Source organism: Homo sapiens, chromosome 3, assembly GCF_000001405.40.
Source record: "Homo sapiens chromosome 3, GRCh38.p14 Primary Assembly".
Lineage (NCBI taxonomy): Eukaryota > Metazoa > Chordata > Mammalia > Primates > Hominidae > Homo > Homo sapiens.
Window position 1 is genome coordinate 185,088,886 of NC_000003.12, and position 19,251 is coordinate 185,108,136.

A 19,251-nucleotide genomic window follows, 5' to 3' on the forward strand; every position below is an offset into this window, starting at 1 on the left:
TACATTTATTAATTGGAATTCTATGTGTGAAATTGAAGATACTGGGATGAAATCACATCTTGTCAGACCCAAACAAACTTAAGCCAGCAGAGCCTGAAGAGGGGAGGGTTTGTGCTATGTCTGAGATAAAGACTTGTCTCAAGGACTTTCTAAAATAACTCTAAGAGATTCTTTCTTTAGGACTGCAGCAATTCGGATAAGATGCCCACGAAAGAACACCTGCCCAGTAACGGCATCTCCACTGATAAACTGAGGCCAACTTGCGTTATAATTCCCAAATAAATTCAACATATTTGGAGACTTTTTTCCTCATTTTTTTTTTCTTGGTTGACACAAGCACCAAAAGCTGCTCCTTCTCCCTCATTTATTTATTTATTTATTCAATTATTTATATAAGCATGGACCCACAGATATTTATTCTGTGTATTGCTACCTGTTACTATCATTTATTTTGTTACTTATATTGTTCCAGATTTAGCTCGGGACCTGTGTCCTTTCAACTATTCCCATCCTTGACTGAAGACTTCTTTACTTTCTGGCAGTAGAAGACATTACTCGTTTATTTGTACTTTATCTGCAGCCATTTCTCCAAGGAGCCCTAGTTCCTTTTATTAAGAACTTACACACATTCTTCAGATTGTTGTTAAAATACTCCTGTGAAGTGGAATCTTAGTTTGCTAATGACTCATTCAAACCACTCTCAGAGCTCATCCATAGGAAAGTGAAGATAATACCTTATTATAGTATCCAGTACCCATTTTAAAAATAATATAAAAATATCACAAACTCATTAACTTATCTTTAATCTTTTTAAAGGGAGCTGAAATCACTTTCTCAATAATGGAAGTGATCATACAACATGACTAACACAAAAACCAACTGTGACCAGAAAATGAAAAATAAAATTTTTTGAGGGTGGAGGTACATGAATCAATACTGTCAGTTGTTTTTCAAAGGCCAATCAAACCACAAATAAGTAACTTCCACTATTAAAGTTTTGATTCATAATATTTATGATGTTTTCCTTCTTTGCTGTTTGGCAATAATATGCCTTTTCACAATGCCTCAATGAAACACTAACAAAGATTTATATTCTCATCCTGGCTCTTTGGTTGAAAAAAGAAACAAAGAGTTATTACATTCTCAAACTCTTATAACAAGATAGGAGTCAATTCTTAGACTCAGCCTTGAGACAACCCTGTATTCTTTCCTCAGGAAGATACCCATTACTTAATGAGGTTTAGATCATGCTCTATTAGTTACCCTGTCATTCTCTGCCCTTAACTTCAGCTAACATTGCAATTTGCAGCACTGTATAATTACATAGCAGATATAATTCCTTGAAGATGTTTCTTTCTCTTGGTTGTAGAGCACAAAGGGAATGAAAAAGAAAAAATAAACCCAAACAAATATAGAAAATAAAATAAATGTATAAGCCCTGCTAAGCTACTGTGTGTACCTTGCTCAACTATTTGATCAGTTGTACGCTTTGATTCTTAAAAAGCTCCTTTGGGGGGAAAATGAGCTTTTTGCTTTTGCAGATAGTTTTATGGTTGTTAAATGTGTGTCCTCCTTGACACAAGAAGTATACTGCTCTCAGGGAATGCAAAGTAATTTAAATATTTGTGCAAGCAAAATATAATTAGAAAGGTAAATCTACTGAAAAAAAATGAGTGGCCTGAGGTAAATTGCATGCACAGTTCAGTTCTTTGACTTTATATTTTGAATTATAATTATGTTTATTTTATTCCCAAGGGCATTCATTATTTTGAAAGTAATGCTAAATATTCTAATTTAGAAATTTCTGGAAGGTTCATTTTTCACTGAATAGCATATCACAAACCAAAAGCAAATGAACTTAGTATTTATTATAGCCAATATTTTTTGTGGCCTGGCCCTTCATTCTGCCCCACTGGCAGTCAATACACCAATATTTTTGTACTTTGAGCTGTGAGGACGCTAAAGTTTGCATATTTCCCAACAAGCTGAAATTCTCAATCAGAAATATATGCAAGATCCTAGTTCCTTCATTTTAAAATTGCATGTATAACTTCTTTAGTGTGGCGGAACATATTGTAAAGCAAATCTAGTGAGACAGACCACCAGACGCATGGCTTATTTACTCAGCTAGCAAATCCTTATTGCATATCTACCATGTTTATGCTACTAAGTCAGATGCTATGGGGAAATAAGATGAAGTAGAGTATGTAGTCATGCTTCTATAGGAGCTTTCAGATAGATACAGAAGATAAGTAAAACAAGAGTTGAATAAGACTATAGGCATATATGCAAGGGCGTTCACCAGGCAGTGGAACAGGATTCCAAGTTTCATTGAAGGATTTTTATATGGATATTAGAAGACAGAGACCGGTATTGTAGCAAGCAGAATGGCTCCAATGTATCAGCTCTGCATTTGGGGTTAGACAGTCGATCAAAAGGGCAAAGGAGGATAAAGTTTCTGAGGAAGACTGAGGCTGGATGGGGCTTGGAATGCTAAGCCAAGGGGTTCAGATTTGGGTAGCAGTGGTGAATGGCTACAGATTACTGAGGAAGCAAGTAATGACAAAAGGAGGGCTCTAAGAGAATGTGGTCTGGTAAATGTGTGCTGATGGACTGGAAAGAGAAGAGATGGGAGTTAAGAGGCTGCTACAGATTTTTAAGCATGAGGTTCTAAGTCCCATGGCTTAGAAGAGGAGGAGACACATCTTGTGAAGGTGGCAGAGCCCAGGGGAGTTAGGACAAAGACTGTAGAGTCAGACACACCTGGATATGAATCCCAGCTCTGCTGCTTGGAGCCATTTTACTTTTTTTTTTTTGGAGGCAGAGTCTTGCTCTGTTGTGCAGGCTGGAGTGCAGTGGTGCAGTCTTGGCTCACTGCAACCTCCGCCTCCCAGGTTCAAGCAATTCTCCTGCCTCAGCGTCTCAAGTAGCTGGGATTACAGGCACTTGCCACCACACCCAGCTATATATGTATTATATTATATATATATATATAATATATATACACACATACACACACACACATACATATATATATATATATATATATATATATATATATATATATATATATATATATTTTTTTTTTTTTTTAGTAGAGACAGGGTTTCACTATGTTGGCCAGGCTGGTCTTGAACTCCTGACCTCAGGTGATCCACCTGCCTCGGCCTCCCAAAGTGCTGGGATTACAGGCATGAGCCACTGTGCCCGGCCTGTTGGACATTTTTGAAATTGTTTATCTCATATTTTCAGTTTCCTCTAGTAAAAGTGATTAATGATATCTACTTCAGAAGGTGGTTGAATGGTTAAACATGAAAATGCTTTCAAAGCAGTAACTCAGTATCTGGTGCACTGTAAACATTCTGTTATTCTTGCTGCTTACAGAAGGCAAGGGCTGCCTGGAGGTGTCTCCAAGCCACTCTAGAGCTTTTCTTGGCTGCATTTGGCCATCCCTGCCCAAGCCCAGGGCCCTCCCATTCCTGAGTTTCTGGTACCCAGCTTCCTGATTCAGTTGCTTCCATAAACTCCTCTCTGTCCAGATCTCTGCCACCTACCTCACCTCCCCCCAAACCCTAGAGTTTGCTTTCACTCTGTTTTTCAAACTAATATTTATTGAGCCTCAATTATATGCCAGGCACTGAGCTAGGTTCATGGGGTAAAAACAGCAGGCAAAACAGACAACCCTGTCCTCATGGAGCTTACACTCTAGGACAGTATGCATACTTCAAATCTCACATGAAAAGATATAAATGATTAAAACCAATAAAAGTGATAGGCAAAAAGTGGTAAGAAAGTAAAGTCAGTGATTAGAAATTATATATTTGGGGCCAGGCACGGTGGCTCATACCTGTAATCCCAGCACTTTGGGAGGCCTAGGTGGGCGGATCACGAGGTCAGGAGATCGAGACCATCCTGGCCAACATGGTGAAACCCCGTCTGTGCTAAAAATACAAAAATTAGTTGGGTGCGGTGGCACATGCCTGTAATCCCAGCTACTTGGGAAGCTGAGACAGGATAATCGCTTGAACCCGTAAGGTGGAGGTTGCAGTGAGCCAAGATCGTGCTACTGCACTCTAGCCTGGCGACAAAGCAAGACTCCATCTCAAAAAAAAAAAAAAAAAGAAAGGGACAATGTATAGTGCAGGTTGAGTATCCCTTATCTGAAATGCCTGGGATCTGAAGTGTTTCAGGTTTCCCAAAGCACTAAACTGACTTCAGCAATCAAGCCACCAACCCCCTCCCAGTATCATGCTGATATCTGGATTTCAGTCAAGTAAGAGAGAATGGAGGTGGTGGAACAAAGTACCACCAAGCAACCTGTACAGGGCAGGAGCCCTTTACCAACAGATGTCTACAAGCTACACTGCTCCAGGCCACACTCTGACACCCTCAAGTATGGGCAGCTTAACCCTGAGACCAGCCTTAAAAATAACATTTCTGTAAGTGCCATAAATCTAAAATAGAGAAGCTGTTTGCCATACTTAGGAATTCACAACAGCCAATCTGAAAATTAGAGATAATGAAGGCTCTACACTTTTTAACCACATTTAGTCCTACCTGAAGCCAAATCTGGTTTAAGGGACAGATATATGCAACAAATTATTGTGTATTTTAACAAGCAACCACCAGTGAACAACTAGGGGGAAAGAGAAGTGTAGAATGCATCCCCCTTACAATCCAGTTTGGGTCACATAAACATCCACGGACACCACAAGAGGAAATATAAGTATTAAGCTGTGGGTATAGATGATACATGGTGTAGAAGTTAGAGAAAAGTGAGGGCTGGAAGGGCTAGAAAAGGCTCCACAGAAAACATGGAATGTAAATTTAAAAAGAGCGAGGACCTGAACAAAAGAAAGTAAAGTGATATGCCTTGTGCAACAATAATGGGGGGCGGGGGGACGTATGGGATGCCTGAGGGATGGTGAGGTGACTGGCCTGAATGGAGCTCTCCTATGACCTGAGACCAGTCTCTTTACCTAGATACAGTCATCCCTCAGGATCCTCAGGGGATTGGTTCGAGGACCACCCCACCCCAACAGAAATCAAAATCCAGATACTCAAGTCTCATATAAACGGCATGGTATTTTGCATATAACCTATGCACATCCTTCTGTATATTTTAAATCCTCTCTAGATTATAGTACCTAATACAAAGTAAATGGTTTGTAATGAGTTATACCCTGGGGTTTTTTTTTTTTTTTTTTTTTTTGAGATGGAGTCACTTTGTTACCCAGGCTGGAGTACAATGGCATGATCTGGGCTCACTGCAACCTCCACCTCCTGGGTTCAAGCGATTCTCCCACTTCAGCCTCCTGAGTAGCTGGGATTACAGGCATGAGCCACCACACCTGGCTAGTTTTTATATTTTTGTAGAGACTGAGTTTCACCAGGTTGGCCAGGATGGTCTCAAAATCCTGACCTCAAGTGATCTGCCCACCTTGTCCTCCCAAAGTGCTGTGATTACAGGCGTGAGCCGCTGCGCCCGGCCTATTTGTATTTTTTATTGTTGTATTGTTATTTCTTAGTTCTTTTCCCAGGTATTTTTAATTAATGATTGGTTGAATCCCCGGATGCAGAGCCGGTGGATATGAAGAGCCCACTATAACGTGGTAAGAGCAAAACCCTTCCCTTGCCAAGGGAGACGGGATACAGTAAGAGCTATTCTGCTGAATAAACCAGCACGATGGAGCCCTTGAACCTACAGACACGGCTAATTCCAGTTGAGAGAGGCTCCTTTTACGGCCAGAGTTTTTAGAAACTTCTGGTAGATTAAAAAAAAAAAAAATCTCCTAGGCTTCCAGTTCCTATTAGGTGGCCAAATAAGGGTTTCATATAGCGAGTATGTCTGCCTGTTTCCATGTAAGTTGGAAAGTCATACTTATCCACCTGGAGCTATTCTGCAGAGCTAGCTGAATACAGTTATTGGTTAGAAAAGAGAGCTGAGGGAGCCTTCTCACAAGGAGAGGTCACTGGGGGTGAGATGAAGCATGAAAACCATATGCTCAGAAAAAGGACGGCTGCTGACAGGGCACACACAGACTCAGCCCGTCTGTATTAAGTGTCTGCACTCTGCAGTGTAGGAAAACAGTGCAGAGAAGTGTGATGCGGGGAAAGAGGCATAAATAGGGGAGTGGCTGACTGCAGAAGCTACTGTTGTTACAAGGAGAGAAAAACTGCATGGGTACCACTGCTTTTCAAATCTAAAGATGGTTCTTAATGTCTTTCATTTTCATTACCATTATTATCTTTGATATTTTAATAACAAGGCTTGACCTTATGGACATTTTATGAGACCATCTCAGCCTCCTGTCCTTCTCTGCAAAAATCACTAGTGCGTGGGTTGAGTTACTAGACTGACCAACAGATTTCTAAAATTGCAGTCTGAAAAAATCCATTTTGAGAACAATGAAATCCCTATCGGGGGAGGGGCAGCAAAGTAGAGCCTGGAACACGATGATTCTCGTGTAGTTTCCTGCCATTGCTCTAGCACACAGCTGTAGAGTTCTACAGATACCAAACAAGTTATTAGCAGCCATTAAGTCAATGGACAGATACTGCTAACAGAGTAAGCTAAGGGAACCAGTAAAAGACATCTGTCACATTTATTTATTGATAAGGGGATGAAAAGTTCAGAAAATTACAAGAAAAGGGTGCTAACAAGTCAGCCTGATTTAAGAAAAAGAAGATCTTGAAGCATCTGTGCTCAGCACAGGAACTCAGAGACTCAACATGTTTACTGGTTTTTTAAAAGATTAACTTAGTTAAAACTTTTGTAGGGGAACGTGTCTGTATATTATTCAAGAACCTCATTTTCAATATAAAACAAGCCAATATAGCATTCTGAAACTTTTTTTTTTTTTTTTTTTTGAGACGGAGTCTTGCTCTGTCACCAGGCTGGAGTGCAGTGGCACGATCTCGGCTCACTGCAACCTCCACCTCCTGGGTTCAAGCAATTCCCCTACCTCAGCCTCTCGAATAGCTGCGACTATAGGTGCGTGCCACCACTCTTGGCTAATTTTTTGCATTTTAGTAGAGACGGGGTTTCACCATGTTGGCCAGGATGGTCTCGATCTCCTGACCTCATGATCCTCCTGCCTCGGCCTCCCAAAGTGCTGGGATTACAGGCGTGAACCACCGCGCCTGGCCAAAACTTCATTTTTTAATAACCATAATAAACACATTCAAGTATCAATGAGCTATTATTAACATATACATGAATTATAGTTCCCAATGTAATCAAAGAAAATATACTTCTGTTTTTTTCTTTAATAATTACCTCTCATTTCTCCTGAAACTGTAGTTAAACCAGCCAATTTCAAAATTGGTGCCACTGAGGAAATCCAAAGCATTAGGGGAAGTAATGAGTTTAATATTTACAGGTAACTAGTGTGTCTACTTCATTGTCTGTCTAACTACTCCTGAATGGGGACAAGAAAACTAAGATGATGGTACCAAAATTCAACTTGAAGCTTTGTTCCTGAACCACCTCTTCCTTACAATAGTTGGGTTGTAAAATCTATAAAGGGAGTCATTCCACAGTAAGCATTAAACAGTAAAGAGAAAAAAGGGGTCCAGAGTACAATAAGACTATGAATGTGCTAGCTGTCAATTCACTGCCACTGAGCTCCAAATTTTGCCTTCCATATATGCTCTGCCGTAATGGACAGAATTGCTTTACAGTGAACGTGATGACACTTTCTTGGTGGAGGGTGCGGAGGACTCTGCAGGAGGAAGGGGCTCTGCCGCTGCTGGCTGCTGACAGTGTGAAGGGTCTGCGGGAGGTCTGCTCCAGCCATGCACCCAGAACGTGTGGTTCCTTGGCTCACTTACAGTCTTGGCTTGGCCTAGTGATAACCTCCCCATGCCCTCTCCACAAGGCAACCAATATTCTGAAGACCTCCTGCCCACACTAAGCTTCTGCTCCCTCTACACAGCCACACCATTAGTTGCTGATTGCCTGTGCCCACCTGCACTGCAGAGGGCCGCTTCCTGCTTGCCAAGCAACTGCAGACCAGTACAACCTGGGGAAGCAGTGCGTTTCTCTGCTGTCCTTTGGGCTGAACCCCCAGCCTTGGTGAAAGGACCTCCTTCCCACTTTGTCTTTCCTTGGGTATTCTCCCAAGGCCCTGGGGGACTGCATAGAATTTCCTTAATTTCTCAGAGTTTAATAATACTCTATATTAAACTTCCTCCCCATTTAATCCACTGTGTGGTTTCCATCTCTTGTTTGGTCTTAAATTGATTCAATGACCAAGGTATGGGATTTCTTACAGTAGTAATTTTGATTGTCTACTGAGAAAATAACATTAAGAAGTAGTTTATATATTTGGAACCTATACTAATAAGATAATAAATGTCATATATTAAAATGCTACTAATTCTTTAGATGTTTATAACTGGACATATTAACAAGTTTAATATTAACGGAGGAAGACTTTAGAAGAATGTATACTAAAACCTATTTTTTAAAGAACATTGTCTTTGTTACTTGAATATTCTATCTCAATAATATCAAAAATAACTAAGTGAAGCCAAGAGAGCTTACTGAATATCCTTGATTATTCGCCCCCAAAGGAATGGCATATAAAACTACTGAGTTAAAAGTGCTTTTCCTGAAAGAACAAGCTTAGGAAAAGAACTGTGAATCCAGTCTTCATAATAGATGAACACATGTTAATCTTAATTCCAGAGTGAAAAACTTTAGCAGCTAGGTGACAGTAACATTCAGTAGCCTTATGAATGAGAGCAGAGCATCATGGCTGGCCAAGGATAATACAGCTCTTTTCCCAGGAACCTGGAATAAGCCCTTGAAGAGAAAAGAGACAGGGAGGAAGCACCCCTGCCTATAACGCATGTGGAACACAGAAGGCAGAAACAACCACGTGAGAAAAGAAATGCTGATTCACATGTGACGTTCTAGACAAAACTGGAGCAGTATGTAAAACCTAAGACATTCGGCACTGGGTTGGGTGCTGTGGAGCTTTATACCTATTTGTCCACGTTATGTGTGTAGAAACTTACAATTACAGCAGATAACTTTATGGTTTTAGCCTGATAATATCAATGAGATTGGGTAATATGACAATGTAGGTTTTCAAGACCAAATAAGATTTCCATGCATGATGGGGTTTTTAAGATTATCACTTGACAATATAATGGATAAAAGGTACCACCAGCACAAACATAACCCTTGCAGAGAGACAAAGCCATAAGCCTGCAGGGGAAAGGCTGTGGCTAAAAAACACTGCCAGAGACGCCAGCCCCACAGCAAGGATGAAGCCTGTCCAGGTACAGCTGTTCTGGATATGCCTAGGCTAAAACTATCCTGGGAATTATCCATGCAGATGGCTGGCTCAAAGAGGTCCCCAGCTGTTCTTAACCTATACTAATAGATAATAAATGCTATGTATTAAAATGCTACTAATCCCCAATTGGGGAATACATTTAATGTTGCTAATAAAAACCAAATAGAATTTCTGTGAATCCTTTACAGACTATGAGCCTAAAATGCCAGATGAGATCTCATGGATGGTTTCAAAGACATTAATTAGGATTTCATTACTTTGGTCTGGAATACAAGCAGGGCACATTTCAAACAAGTAGGTCCTAGAGCCTATTGATTAATGCTAATAACTCAGAAAATCTATAGTTTTCCCATAAAATCTCAAAGGATTACAAAATGTGATGAAGGCAGAAAGCATCTCCCTTTACAGTTGATATTTTTATGAATCCACAGAGAAAAAAATGTATTCATATATCATACTGTCTGAGAACTAATTTCAAAACTACTCATTTTACTGTGTGGTAGATGTGATGGTTAATTTTATATGTCAACTTTGAGGGTGCTTTGAATGAGATTAACATTTAAATCAGTGAAGTCTGAGTAAGCCAACTGCCCTTCATAATGTGGGTGGGCCCCATCCAAACAGTTGAAGGCCTGAATAGAACAGAAATACCAGCTTCCCAAGCAAGAGAAAAATCTCCAGTGATTTCCCGTGGGCGTCATCCACACTGTCAGCTCTCCAGGGTCTCCGGCCTGTCTGCTGGCCCACACTGCAGATTTGGACTTACCAGTCTCTATAATCACGTGAGCCAATTCCTTACGATCAGCCAATACCCATCTATCTCTGTTTCTCTGGAAAACACTAATATAGTGGAACTCATTTTACCTGCAGTGGTAAGATATAGCCATAACACTATAATCCAATATGACCAATTTTAATTTTAAGACATGGGGAGAGTGTAAGCAACATGGAAAACATAATTCAGGATATCATCCGGGAGAACTTTCCCAAGTTAGCTATAGAGGCCAACATTCAAATTCAGGAAATGCAGAGAACCCCAGTAAGCTACTTCACAAGAGGATCATCCCCAACACACACAATCAGCAGATTCTCCAAAGTTGAAAGAAAAAATGTTAAAGGCAGCTAGACAGAAAGGTCAGGTCACTTACAAAGGGAAGTCCATCAGACTAACTGTGGACTTCTCAGCAGAAACTCTACAAGCCAGAAGAGACTGGGGGCCAATATTTAACATTCTTAAAGAAAAATTCCAACACAGAATTTCATATCCAGGCAAACTAAGCTTCATAAGTGAAGGAGAAATAAGATCCTTTTCAGACAAGCAAATGCTGAGATAATTCATTACCACCAGATCTGCCTTACAAGAGCTCCTGAAGGAAGGAGTAAATATGGAAAGACCATTGCCAGCCACTACAAAAACACACTGAAGGACACAGACCAGTGACACTATAAAGTAACCACATAAACAAGTCTAAAATAACCAGCTAACAGCATGATAGCAGGATCAGATCCACACATGTCAATACTAACCTTGAATGTAAACGGGCTACATGCCCCAATTAAAGGGCACAGAGTGGCAAGCTGGATAAGAACCAAGACCCATTATTATGCTGTCTTCAAGAGACCCATCTCACATGCAATGACACCTACAGGCTCAAAATAAAGGCATGGAGAAAAATCTACCAAGCAAATGGAAAACAGAAAAAGCAGGGGATGCAACCCTAATTTCACATAAAACACCCTTTCAACCAACACAGATTTTTAAAAAGGGCATTACATAATGGTAAAGGATTCAATTTAGCAAGAAGACGTAACTATCCTAAATGTATATGCACCCAACACAGGAGCACCCAGATTCACAAAGCAAGTTCTTAGAGACCTAAAGAGACTGAGACTTCCACACAAGAATAGTGAGAGACTTCAACACCCCACCAACAGTATTAGATCACCGAGGCAAAAAATTAAAAAAGATACTCAGGACCTGAACTCAGTAGTGGATCAAATGGACCTGATAGACATCTACATTACCTCTCCACCCCAAAACAGAATATACAGTTTTCTCATTGCCACATGAAACATACTCTAAAATCAATCACATAATCGGACATAAAACACACTCAGCAAATGCAAAATAACTGAAATCAAAACAACCACACTCTCGGACCACAGAGCAATCAAACTGGAAATCAAAACTAAGAAATTCTGTCAAAACCATACAATTATATGGAAGTTGAATAACCTGCTCCTGAGTGAATTTTGGGTAAATAATGAAATTTAGGCAGAAAAAGAAATTCTTTGAAACCAATGAAAACAAAGATACAACATACCAGAATCCCTGGGACACAGCTAAGACAGTGTTAAGAGGGAAATGTATAGCACTAAATACCCATATCAAAAACTTAGATCTCAATTTAAAAACCTAACATCACAACTAAATGAACTAGAAAACCAAGAGCAAGCCAATCCCAAAGCTAGCAGAAGACAAGAAACAACCAAAATCAGAGCTGAACTAAAACAGCTTTAGACATGAAAAACCATCCAAAACCTCAATGGGTCCTGGAGTTGGTTTTTTGAAAAAAAAAAATTAACAAAATAGATCACTACCTAGACTAATAAAGAAGAGAGTAGATCCAAATAAACACAATTAGAAATGGCAAAGGGCATATTACAAATGAACTCACAGAAATACAAATAACCATCAGAGAATATTATGAACACCTCTACACACATAAACTAGAAAACCTGTAAAAAATGGATAAATTCCTGGACACATCCTCCCGAGACTGAGCCAGGAAGAAATGGAATTGCTGAATAGACTAGTAACAAGCTCTGAAATTTAATCGGTAATAAATAGCCCACCAATTAAAAAAAGCCCAGGACCAGAGGGATTCACAGGCAAATTCTATCAGATATATAAAGATGAGCTGGTACCATTCCTACTGAAACTATTCCAATAAATTAAGGAAGAAGGACTCCTCCCTAACTTATTCTATGAGGCCAGCATCATCCTGATACCAAAACCTGGCAGACACAACAAAAAAAGAAAACTTCAGGCCAATATCCTTGATGAACATCAATGCAAAAATCCTCAACAAAATACTCGCAAACCAAATCCAACAGGACATCAAAATGCTTATCCACCACGATCAAGTAGGCTTTGTCCCTGGAATGCAAGTTTGGATCAACATACACACACAAATCAAAAAATATGATTCATCACATAACTAAAGACAACCACACAATTATCTCAATAGATGCACGCATTCATCCATTCTTGCACTACTATAGAGAACTACCTGAGACTGGGTAATTTACAGAGAAAAGAGGTTTAATTGGCTCATGGTTTTGCAGAATGAACAGGCGTCTGCTTCTGGGGAGGTCTCAGGAAACTTACAATCATGGTGGAAGGTGAATGGGAAGCAGGTACATTTTCACATGGCTGGCAGGAGAGAAAGTGATGGAGGAGGTGCTATACACCTTCAAACAGCCAGATCTGGTAAGAACTCTGTCAACGAGACAACACTAGGGGGATGGTGCTAAACCATTAGAAACCAGCCCCATGATCCAATCACCTCCCACCAAGCCCCATCTCCAACATGGGGATTACAATTCTACATGAGATTTGGGTGGGGGCACAGCCAAACCATATCAATGCAGAAAAAGGCTTTCAATAAAGTTCAACATTCCTTCATGTTAAAAACTCTCAATTAACTAGGTATTGAAGGAAAATACCTCAAAATAATAAGAACCATCTATGACAAACCCACAGCGATCATCATACTGAATGGGTAAAAGGTAAGGCATTCTTAATGAAAACCAACACAAGACAAGGATGCCCTCTCTTACCACTCCTATTCAACATAGAATTGAAAGTCCAGGCAGATCAGGCAAGAGAAAGAATGAAAGGGCATCCATACAGGAAGAGAGGAAATCAAACTATCCCTGTTTGCAGACAACACGATCCTATATCTAGAAAACCCCACAGTCTCGGCCCAAAAGCTCCTTCAGCTAATAAACAACTTCAGCAAAGTCTCAGGATACAAATTCAATGTACAGAAATGATTAGCATTCCTATATACCAAAAACAGGCCAACAGCCAAATCAGAAACACAATCCCATTCACAATTGACACAAAAAATTAACCAGGAATATAGCTAACCAGGGAGGTGAAAGATCTCTCCAAGGAGAACTACAAAATACTGCTCAAAGAAATCAGAGATGACACAAACAAATGGGAAAACATTCCATGCTTGTTATTAGAAAGAATCAGTTTCATTAAAATGGCCATACTGCCCAAAGCAATTTATAGATTCAATGCTATTCCTATCAAACTACAAATGACATTCTTCACAGAACTAGAAAATCTATTTTAAAATGCACTGGAACCAAAAACGAGCCCGAATAGACAAGGCAATGCTAAGCAAAAAGAACAAAGCTGGAGGCATCATGCTACCTGATTTCAAACTCTACTACAGGGTTATAGTAACCAAAACAGCAAGACACTGGTACAAAAACGGACACACAGACCAATGAAACAGAATAGAGCCCCAAAATAAGGCCACACACCTGCAACTATCTAATCTTCTACAAAGTTGATAAAAACAAGCAATGGGGAAAGGAATCCTTATTCAATAAATGATGCTTAGATAACTGGCTACCCATATGCAGAAGACTGAATAAACCCCTTCTTTACACCATATACAAAAATTAACTCAAGATAGATAAAAGACTTAAATGTAAAACCCAAAACTATAAAAACCCTGGAAGACGGCCAGGCATGGCAGTGGCTCATGCCTGTAATCCCAGCACTTTGGGAGGCTGAGGTGAGTGGATCACCTGAGGTCAGGGGTTCGAGACCAGCCTGGCCAACATGGTGAAACCCCATCTCTACTAAAAATACAAAAATTAGCCAGGCGTGGTGGCACCTGCCTGTAATCCCAGCTACTCAGGAGGCTGAGGCAAGAGAATCATTTGAATCTGGGAGGCGGAGGTTGCAGTGAACAGAGATTGTGCCACTGCATACCAGCCTGGGCCACAGAGTGAGGCTCTGTCTCAAACAAACCCTGGAAGACAACCTAGGCAATACCATTCTGGACATAGGAACGGGCAAAGATTTCATGACAAAGACACGAAAAGCAATTGCAACAAAAGCAAAAATAGACAAACGGGATTAATTAGAAAGCTTCTACACAGCAAAAGAAACTATCAACGGAGTAAACAGACCACATACAGCATGGGAGAAGATTTTTGCAAACTATACATCTGACGAAGGTCTAATATCCATCATCGAGAAGAAACTTAAATTTACAAGAAAAAAAAAACCATTAAAAAGTGGGCAAAAAACATGAACAGACACTTTTCAAAAGAAGTCATACACGCAGCCAACAAGCATATGAAAAAAAGCTCAACATCACTGATCATTACAGAAATGCAAATCAAAACCACAATGAGATACCATCTCACACTGAGGGAGAAGAAAAGGAAAAATCATTTAGGTAAACAGTTAAGACTGGTCCTCGGAGAAGCAGCCTGCCTGAAAAATCATGGCTACAGGCAAAAATAGAGCAGCCTGGGGAAAACTCAGGCTGCACCTGCAGAGATAAGCAGGTAAGATCCAACACAGAAGCCTTTTGTTCTTTGTGTGATTAGTGGGCTCCCAGGAAAAAGGCTCCTGTCCCTTTCAGGCATATACATGGTGGGCTCTGTGGGAACCTGCACAGGGAGGAGGGGGACTTACCTAAAAGAAACCCACAGTTATACAAACAAGAGAAAGGGTGCTTTGTGCATGCCTAGAGACATACGCACAACTACACAGATAAGGGAGAGTTATGCAGACAGCTTTTCAGATAAGAGAAGTTACTCAAACAGCTACAGAGATGACAGGAGTTTCTTATAAAAGCTTTTGAGTTCAACTGTAAAACGGCAATCCACTCTGGCTCCCCCCTCCGCTGTGGACAGCTTTCTTCTTTTGCTTATTAAACTTTCCCTCCAACCTCATCCTTTGTGTCCATGCTCCTTAATTCTCTTGGTTGTGAGATGATGAGCTTGGGTAACACCTTAAGACAACAAGACCAGTAACCCTGACCTGTTTCAACACCAGTCAGAATGGCTATTATTAAAAAGTCAAAGAATAACAGGTGTTGGAGAGGTTGCAGAGAAAAAGGAATGCTTATACACTGTTGGTGGGAGTGTAAATTAGTTCAATCATTGTGGAAAACTGTGTGGCAATTCCTCAAAGACCTAAAAACAGAACTGCCATTTGACCCAGCAATCCCATTACTAGGTAAATACCCAAAGGAATATAAAATCATTCTATCATAAAGACACATGCATGCATATGTTCACTGCAGCACTGTTCACAGTAGCAACAACATGGAATCAACCCAAATGCCCATCAATGATAGACTGGATAAAGAAAAAGTGGTACACATACACCATGGAAAACTATGCAGCCATAAAAAAGAATGAGATCAAGTCCTTTGCAGAGAGATGGATGGAGCTGGAGGCCATTATCCTTAGCAAACTAATGCAGAAACAGAAAACCAAATACCGCATGTTCTTAGTGGAAGTGAAATGATGAGAACACATGGACACATAGAGGGGAACAACACACACTGCATACCAGAAGGTGGAGGGTAGGAGGAGGGAAAGGATCATGAAAAATAACTAATAGGTACTAGGTTTAATACCTGGGTGATGAAATAATTGGTACAACGAACTCCTATGGCATAAATTTACCTTTATAACAAACCTGCACACATACCCCTGAACTTAAAAAATAAATATCCAGCAACTAACAAGGTAAAATTCACAATGCTGACAACCAATTAAAGATTACCAGACATATCAAATAAGGAGAAAATACAACTAATAATGTAGAAAGTATCAATTAAAATCTACCCAGAACTGACACAAATGTTAAAATTAGCAAATATACTAAAACAATGACTACAACTGTATTCTATATGTTCAATAGGTTAAGTAGATGTTAGGACAACTGGATATCCACATGTGTTGGGAGCAGGCCCCCCAAAATCTGGCCATAAACTGGCCCCAAAACTGGCCATACACAAAATCTCTGCAGCACTGTGACATGTTCATGATGGTCATAACACCCATGCTGGAAGGTTGTGGGTTCACGGGAATGAGGGCAAGGAACACCTGGCCCACTCAGGGTGGAAAACCGCTTAAAGCCATTCTTAAGCCACAAACAATAGCATGAGCGATCTGTGCCTTAAGGACATGCTCCTGCTGCAGTTAACTAGCCCAACCTATTCCTTTCATTCGGCCCATCCCTTCATTTCCCATAAGGGATACTTTCAGTTAAGTTAATATCTACAGAAACAATGCTAATGGCTGGCTTGCTGTTAATAAATATGTGGGTAAATGTCTGTTTGGGGCTCTCAGCTCTGCAGGCTGTGAGACCCCTGATTTCCCACTTCACACCTCTATATTTCTCTGTGTGTTTTTAATTCCTCTAGTGCCGCTGGGTTAGGGTCTCCCCAACCGAGCTGGTCTCGGCAAATGGCATCCATCGTGGGGGCTCGAATCCAGGTTGAAGGGTCGCTGGAGCGATGGTTGGAGAATGTGGAACTAGCTGGAGGACACCAGAGTACTCTTAAAGCAATCCCTGTGGTGAGTAAGAAGGGGAGCTTGGAAGCGTCAGGGTAACAATGGGATAAGTGTGGGGTGTGGTTTGTTCCACCTTGGAACTTTTTCACACTGATGATGAGGAGGAAGGAGAGTATAGCAAAGTAACAGAAGAGGTTACAGAGCATATTTATTTACCAGCTAAAGTGGCAAAGGAAGGAGAGGTTCATCCCTATCCTTCTGCACCCCCTCATTATTATTTTGAAGAAAAAGACCCTCCATATCTTTCTTTTCCAGAGGACACTGGGTGAAAAGTAGTTGCCCCAGTGATTGTTCGAGCAGCGCCTCGAGCAACCGCTCTAAGTTTTATTCAGGCAGGAATTCAGCAAGCTAGATGAGAGAGTGATTTAGAGGCTTGGCAGTTCCCTGTTAGAATACACCCCCCAGATCAACAGGGAAATATTATAGCTACATTTGAGCCTTTTCCTTTTAAATTCAGGAAAGCACATTTAGTTGATTACATCAAGGCCTGTGATGGTATTGGAGGTAATCTGCATAAGGCTACTCTGCTAGCACAGGCAATGGCAGGACTGAGAGTGGATAAAGGAAATACTCCATTTCCTGGAGCTTCTTTTAACTGTGGGAAGCACGGTCATACTAAAAAAGAATGTGGAAAAAATCAGCAAGTCAGGCCGCCAGTTGAGGGAAAAAAAGAAAACTGCTGAGCCTGAAATATGTCCAAAATGTAAAAAAGGAAAACACTGGGCTAATCAGTGTCACTCTAAGTTTGATAAAGATGGGAACCTGATTTTGGGAAACACCATGAGGGCCCGTCCCAGGCCCCATTCTAAACCGGGGCCTTTCCAGCTCAGGCCATTCCCTCACCCCTGTACAATGTCTGTCCCCCGCCACAGCCGGTAGTGCCGCAGTAGATCTATGCTACACAAAAGCTGTGAGCCTTCTGCCTGGGGAACCCCCCGCAAAAAGTTCCAACAGGGCTCTGTGGACCCTTGCCAGCAGGGACGATAGGATTACTTTTAGGAAGGTCTAGTTTAAATTTAAAAGGAGTGCAAACACATACAGGAGTCATTGACTCAGATTACAATGAGGAAATTCAAATTGTTACATCTACTTCTGTTCCCTGGAAAGCAGAGCCAGGACAGTGTATAGCACAGCTCCTGATTGTGCCGTATGTGGACATGGGGAAAAGTGAAATTAAACAAACAGGAGGATTTGGAAGCACAAATAAACAAGACAAAGCAGCTTATTGGGTAAATCAAATTACTAATAAACACCCTACCTGTGAAATAACTATTCAGGGAAAGAAATTTAAAGGTTTGGTAGATACAGGAGCGGACATTTCAATCATTTCTCTATAGCACTGGCCGTCCACGTGGCCAATTCAACCTACTCAATTTAACATAGCTGGAGTTGGTAAAGCCCCTGAAGTATATCAAAGTAGTTATATCTTGCATTGTGAAGGGCCCGATGGACAACCTGGGACTATTCAACCAATTATAACTTCCGTACCTATAAATCTATGGGGGAGAGATTTATTACAACAATGGGGAGCACAAGTTCTAATTCCAGAACAATTATATAGCCCTCAAAGGCAACATATGATGCGTGAAATGGGGTATGTCCCTGGTATGGGACTAGAAAAAAATTTGCAAGGTTTGAAAGAACCACTTCAAGTGGAAAAACAAAGTTCCTGACAAAGATTAGGAAATAATTTTTGATGGTGGCCATTGTTAAGCCTCCAGAACCTACACCTTTAAAATGGTTAACAGATAAGCCAATTTGGATAGAACAATGGCCACTAAGTAAAGAGAAACTGGGGGCTTTAGAGAAATTAGTTACTGAACAATTAGAAAATGGGCACATAGCTCCAACATTTTCCCCTTGGAATTCTCCAGTTTTCCTAACTAAGAAAAAATCAAGTAAATGGAGAATGTTAACTGACTTAAGAGCCATCAATTCAGTTATACAACCTATGTGAGCATTACAGCCAGGATTGCCTTCTCCTGCTGTAATTCCAAAAAATTGGCCTTTAATAGTCATAGACTCTAGATTTGCTAATTTTTTCAACTCAGCATTCACCTACAGGTGTTATTGTCCAAGAACAGGACTTAGTAAGAGTGGCTTTTTCTTCCACATACTAATTCACGGACTCTAACTCCTTATTTAGATCAAATCGCTACTATGATAGGGATTCGGAGAACTCAGATTGTTAAATTACATAGATATGATCCTAGAAAAATTATTGTCCCTCTCACGAAGGCACAAATACAGCAAGCTTCTATAAATAGTCTTACTTGGCAAACCCATTTAGCTGACTTTGTAAGTATTCTTGATA

At 40.5% G+C, this 19,251-nt stretch overlaps 1 protein-coding gene across 1 annotated transcript in view, besides 1 other annotated feature; it reads right to left on the reverse strand.

Moving 5' to 3' along the window:
* Positions 1 to 19,251, reverse strand: part of C3orf70 (chromosome 3 open reading frame 70) — a 76,223-nt gene that overhangs the window by 12,048 nt on the left and 44,924 nt on the right. The window lies entirely within an intron of this gene.
* Positions 14,896 to 15,190: a silencer, noted in NCBI's record as "tiled region #10617; K562 Repressive non-DNase unmatched - State 9:DNaseU". NCBI's record gives its function as "represses a minimal TATA promoter and a strong SV40 promoter by Sharpr-MPRA in K562 cells {active_cell/tissue: K562}" and the evidence as "EXISTENCE:reporter gene assay evidence [ECO:0000049][PMID:27701403]".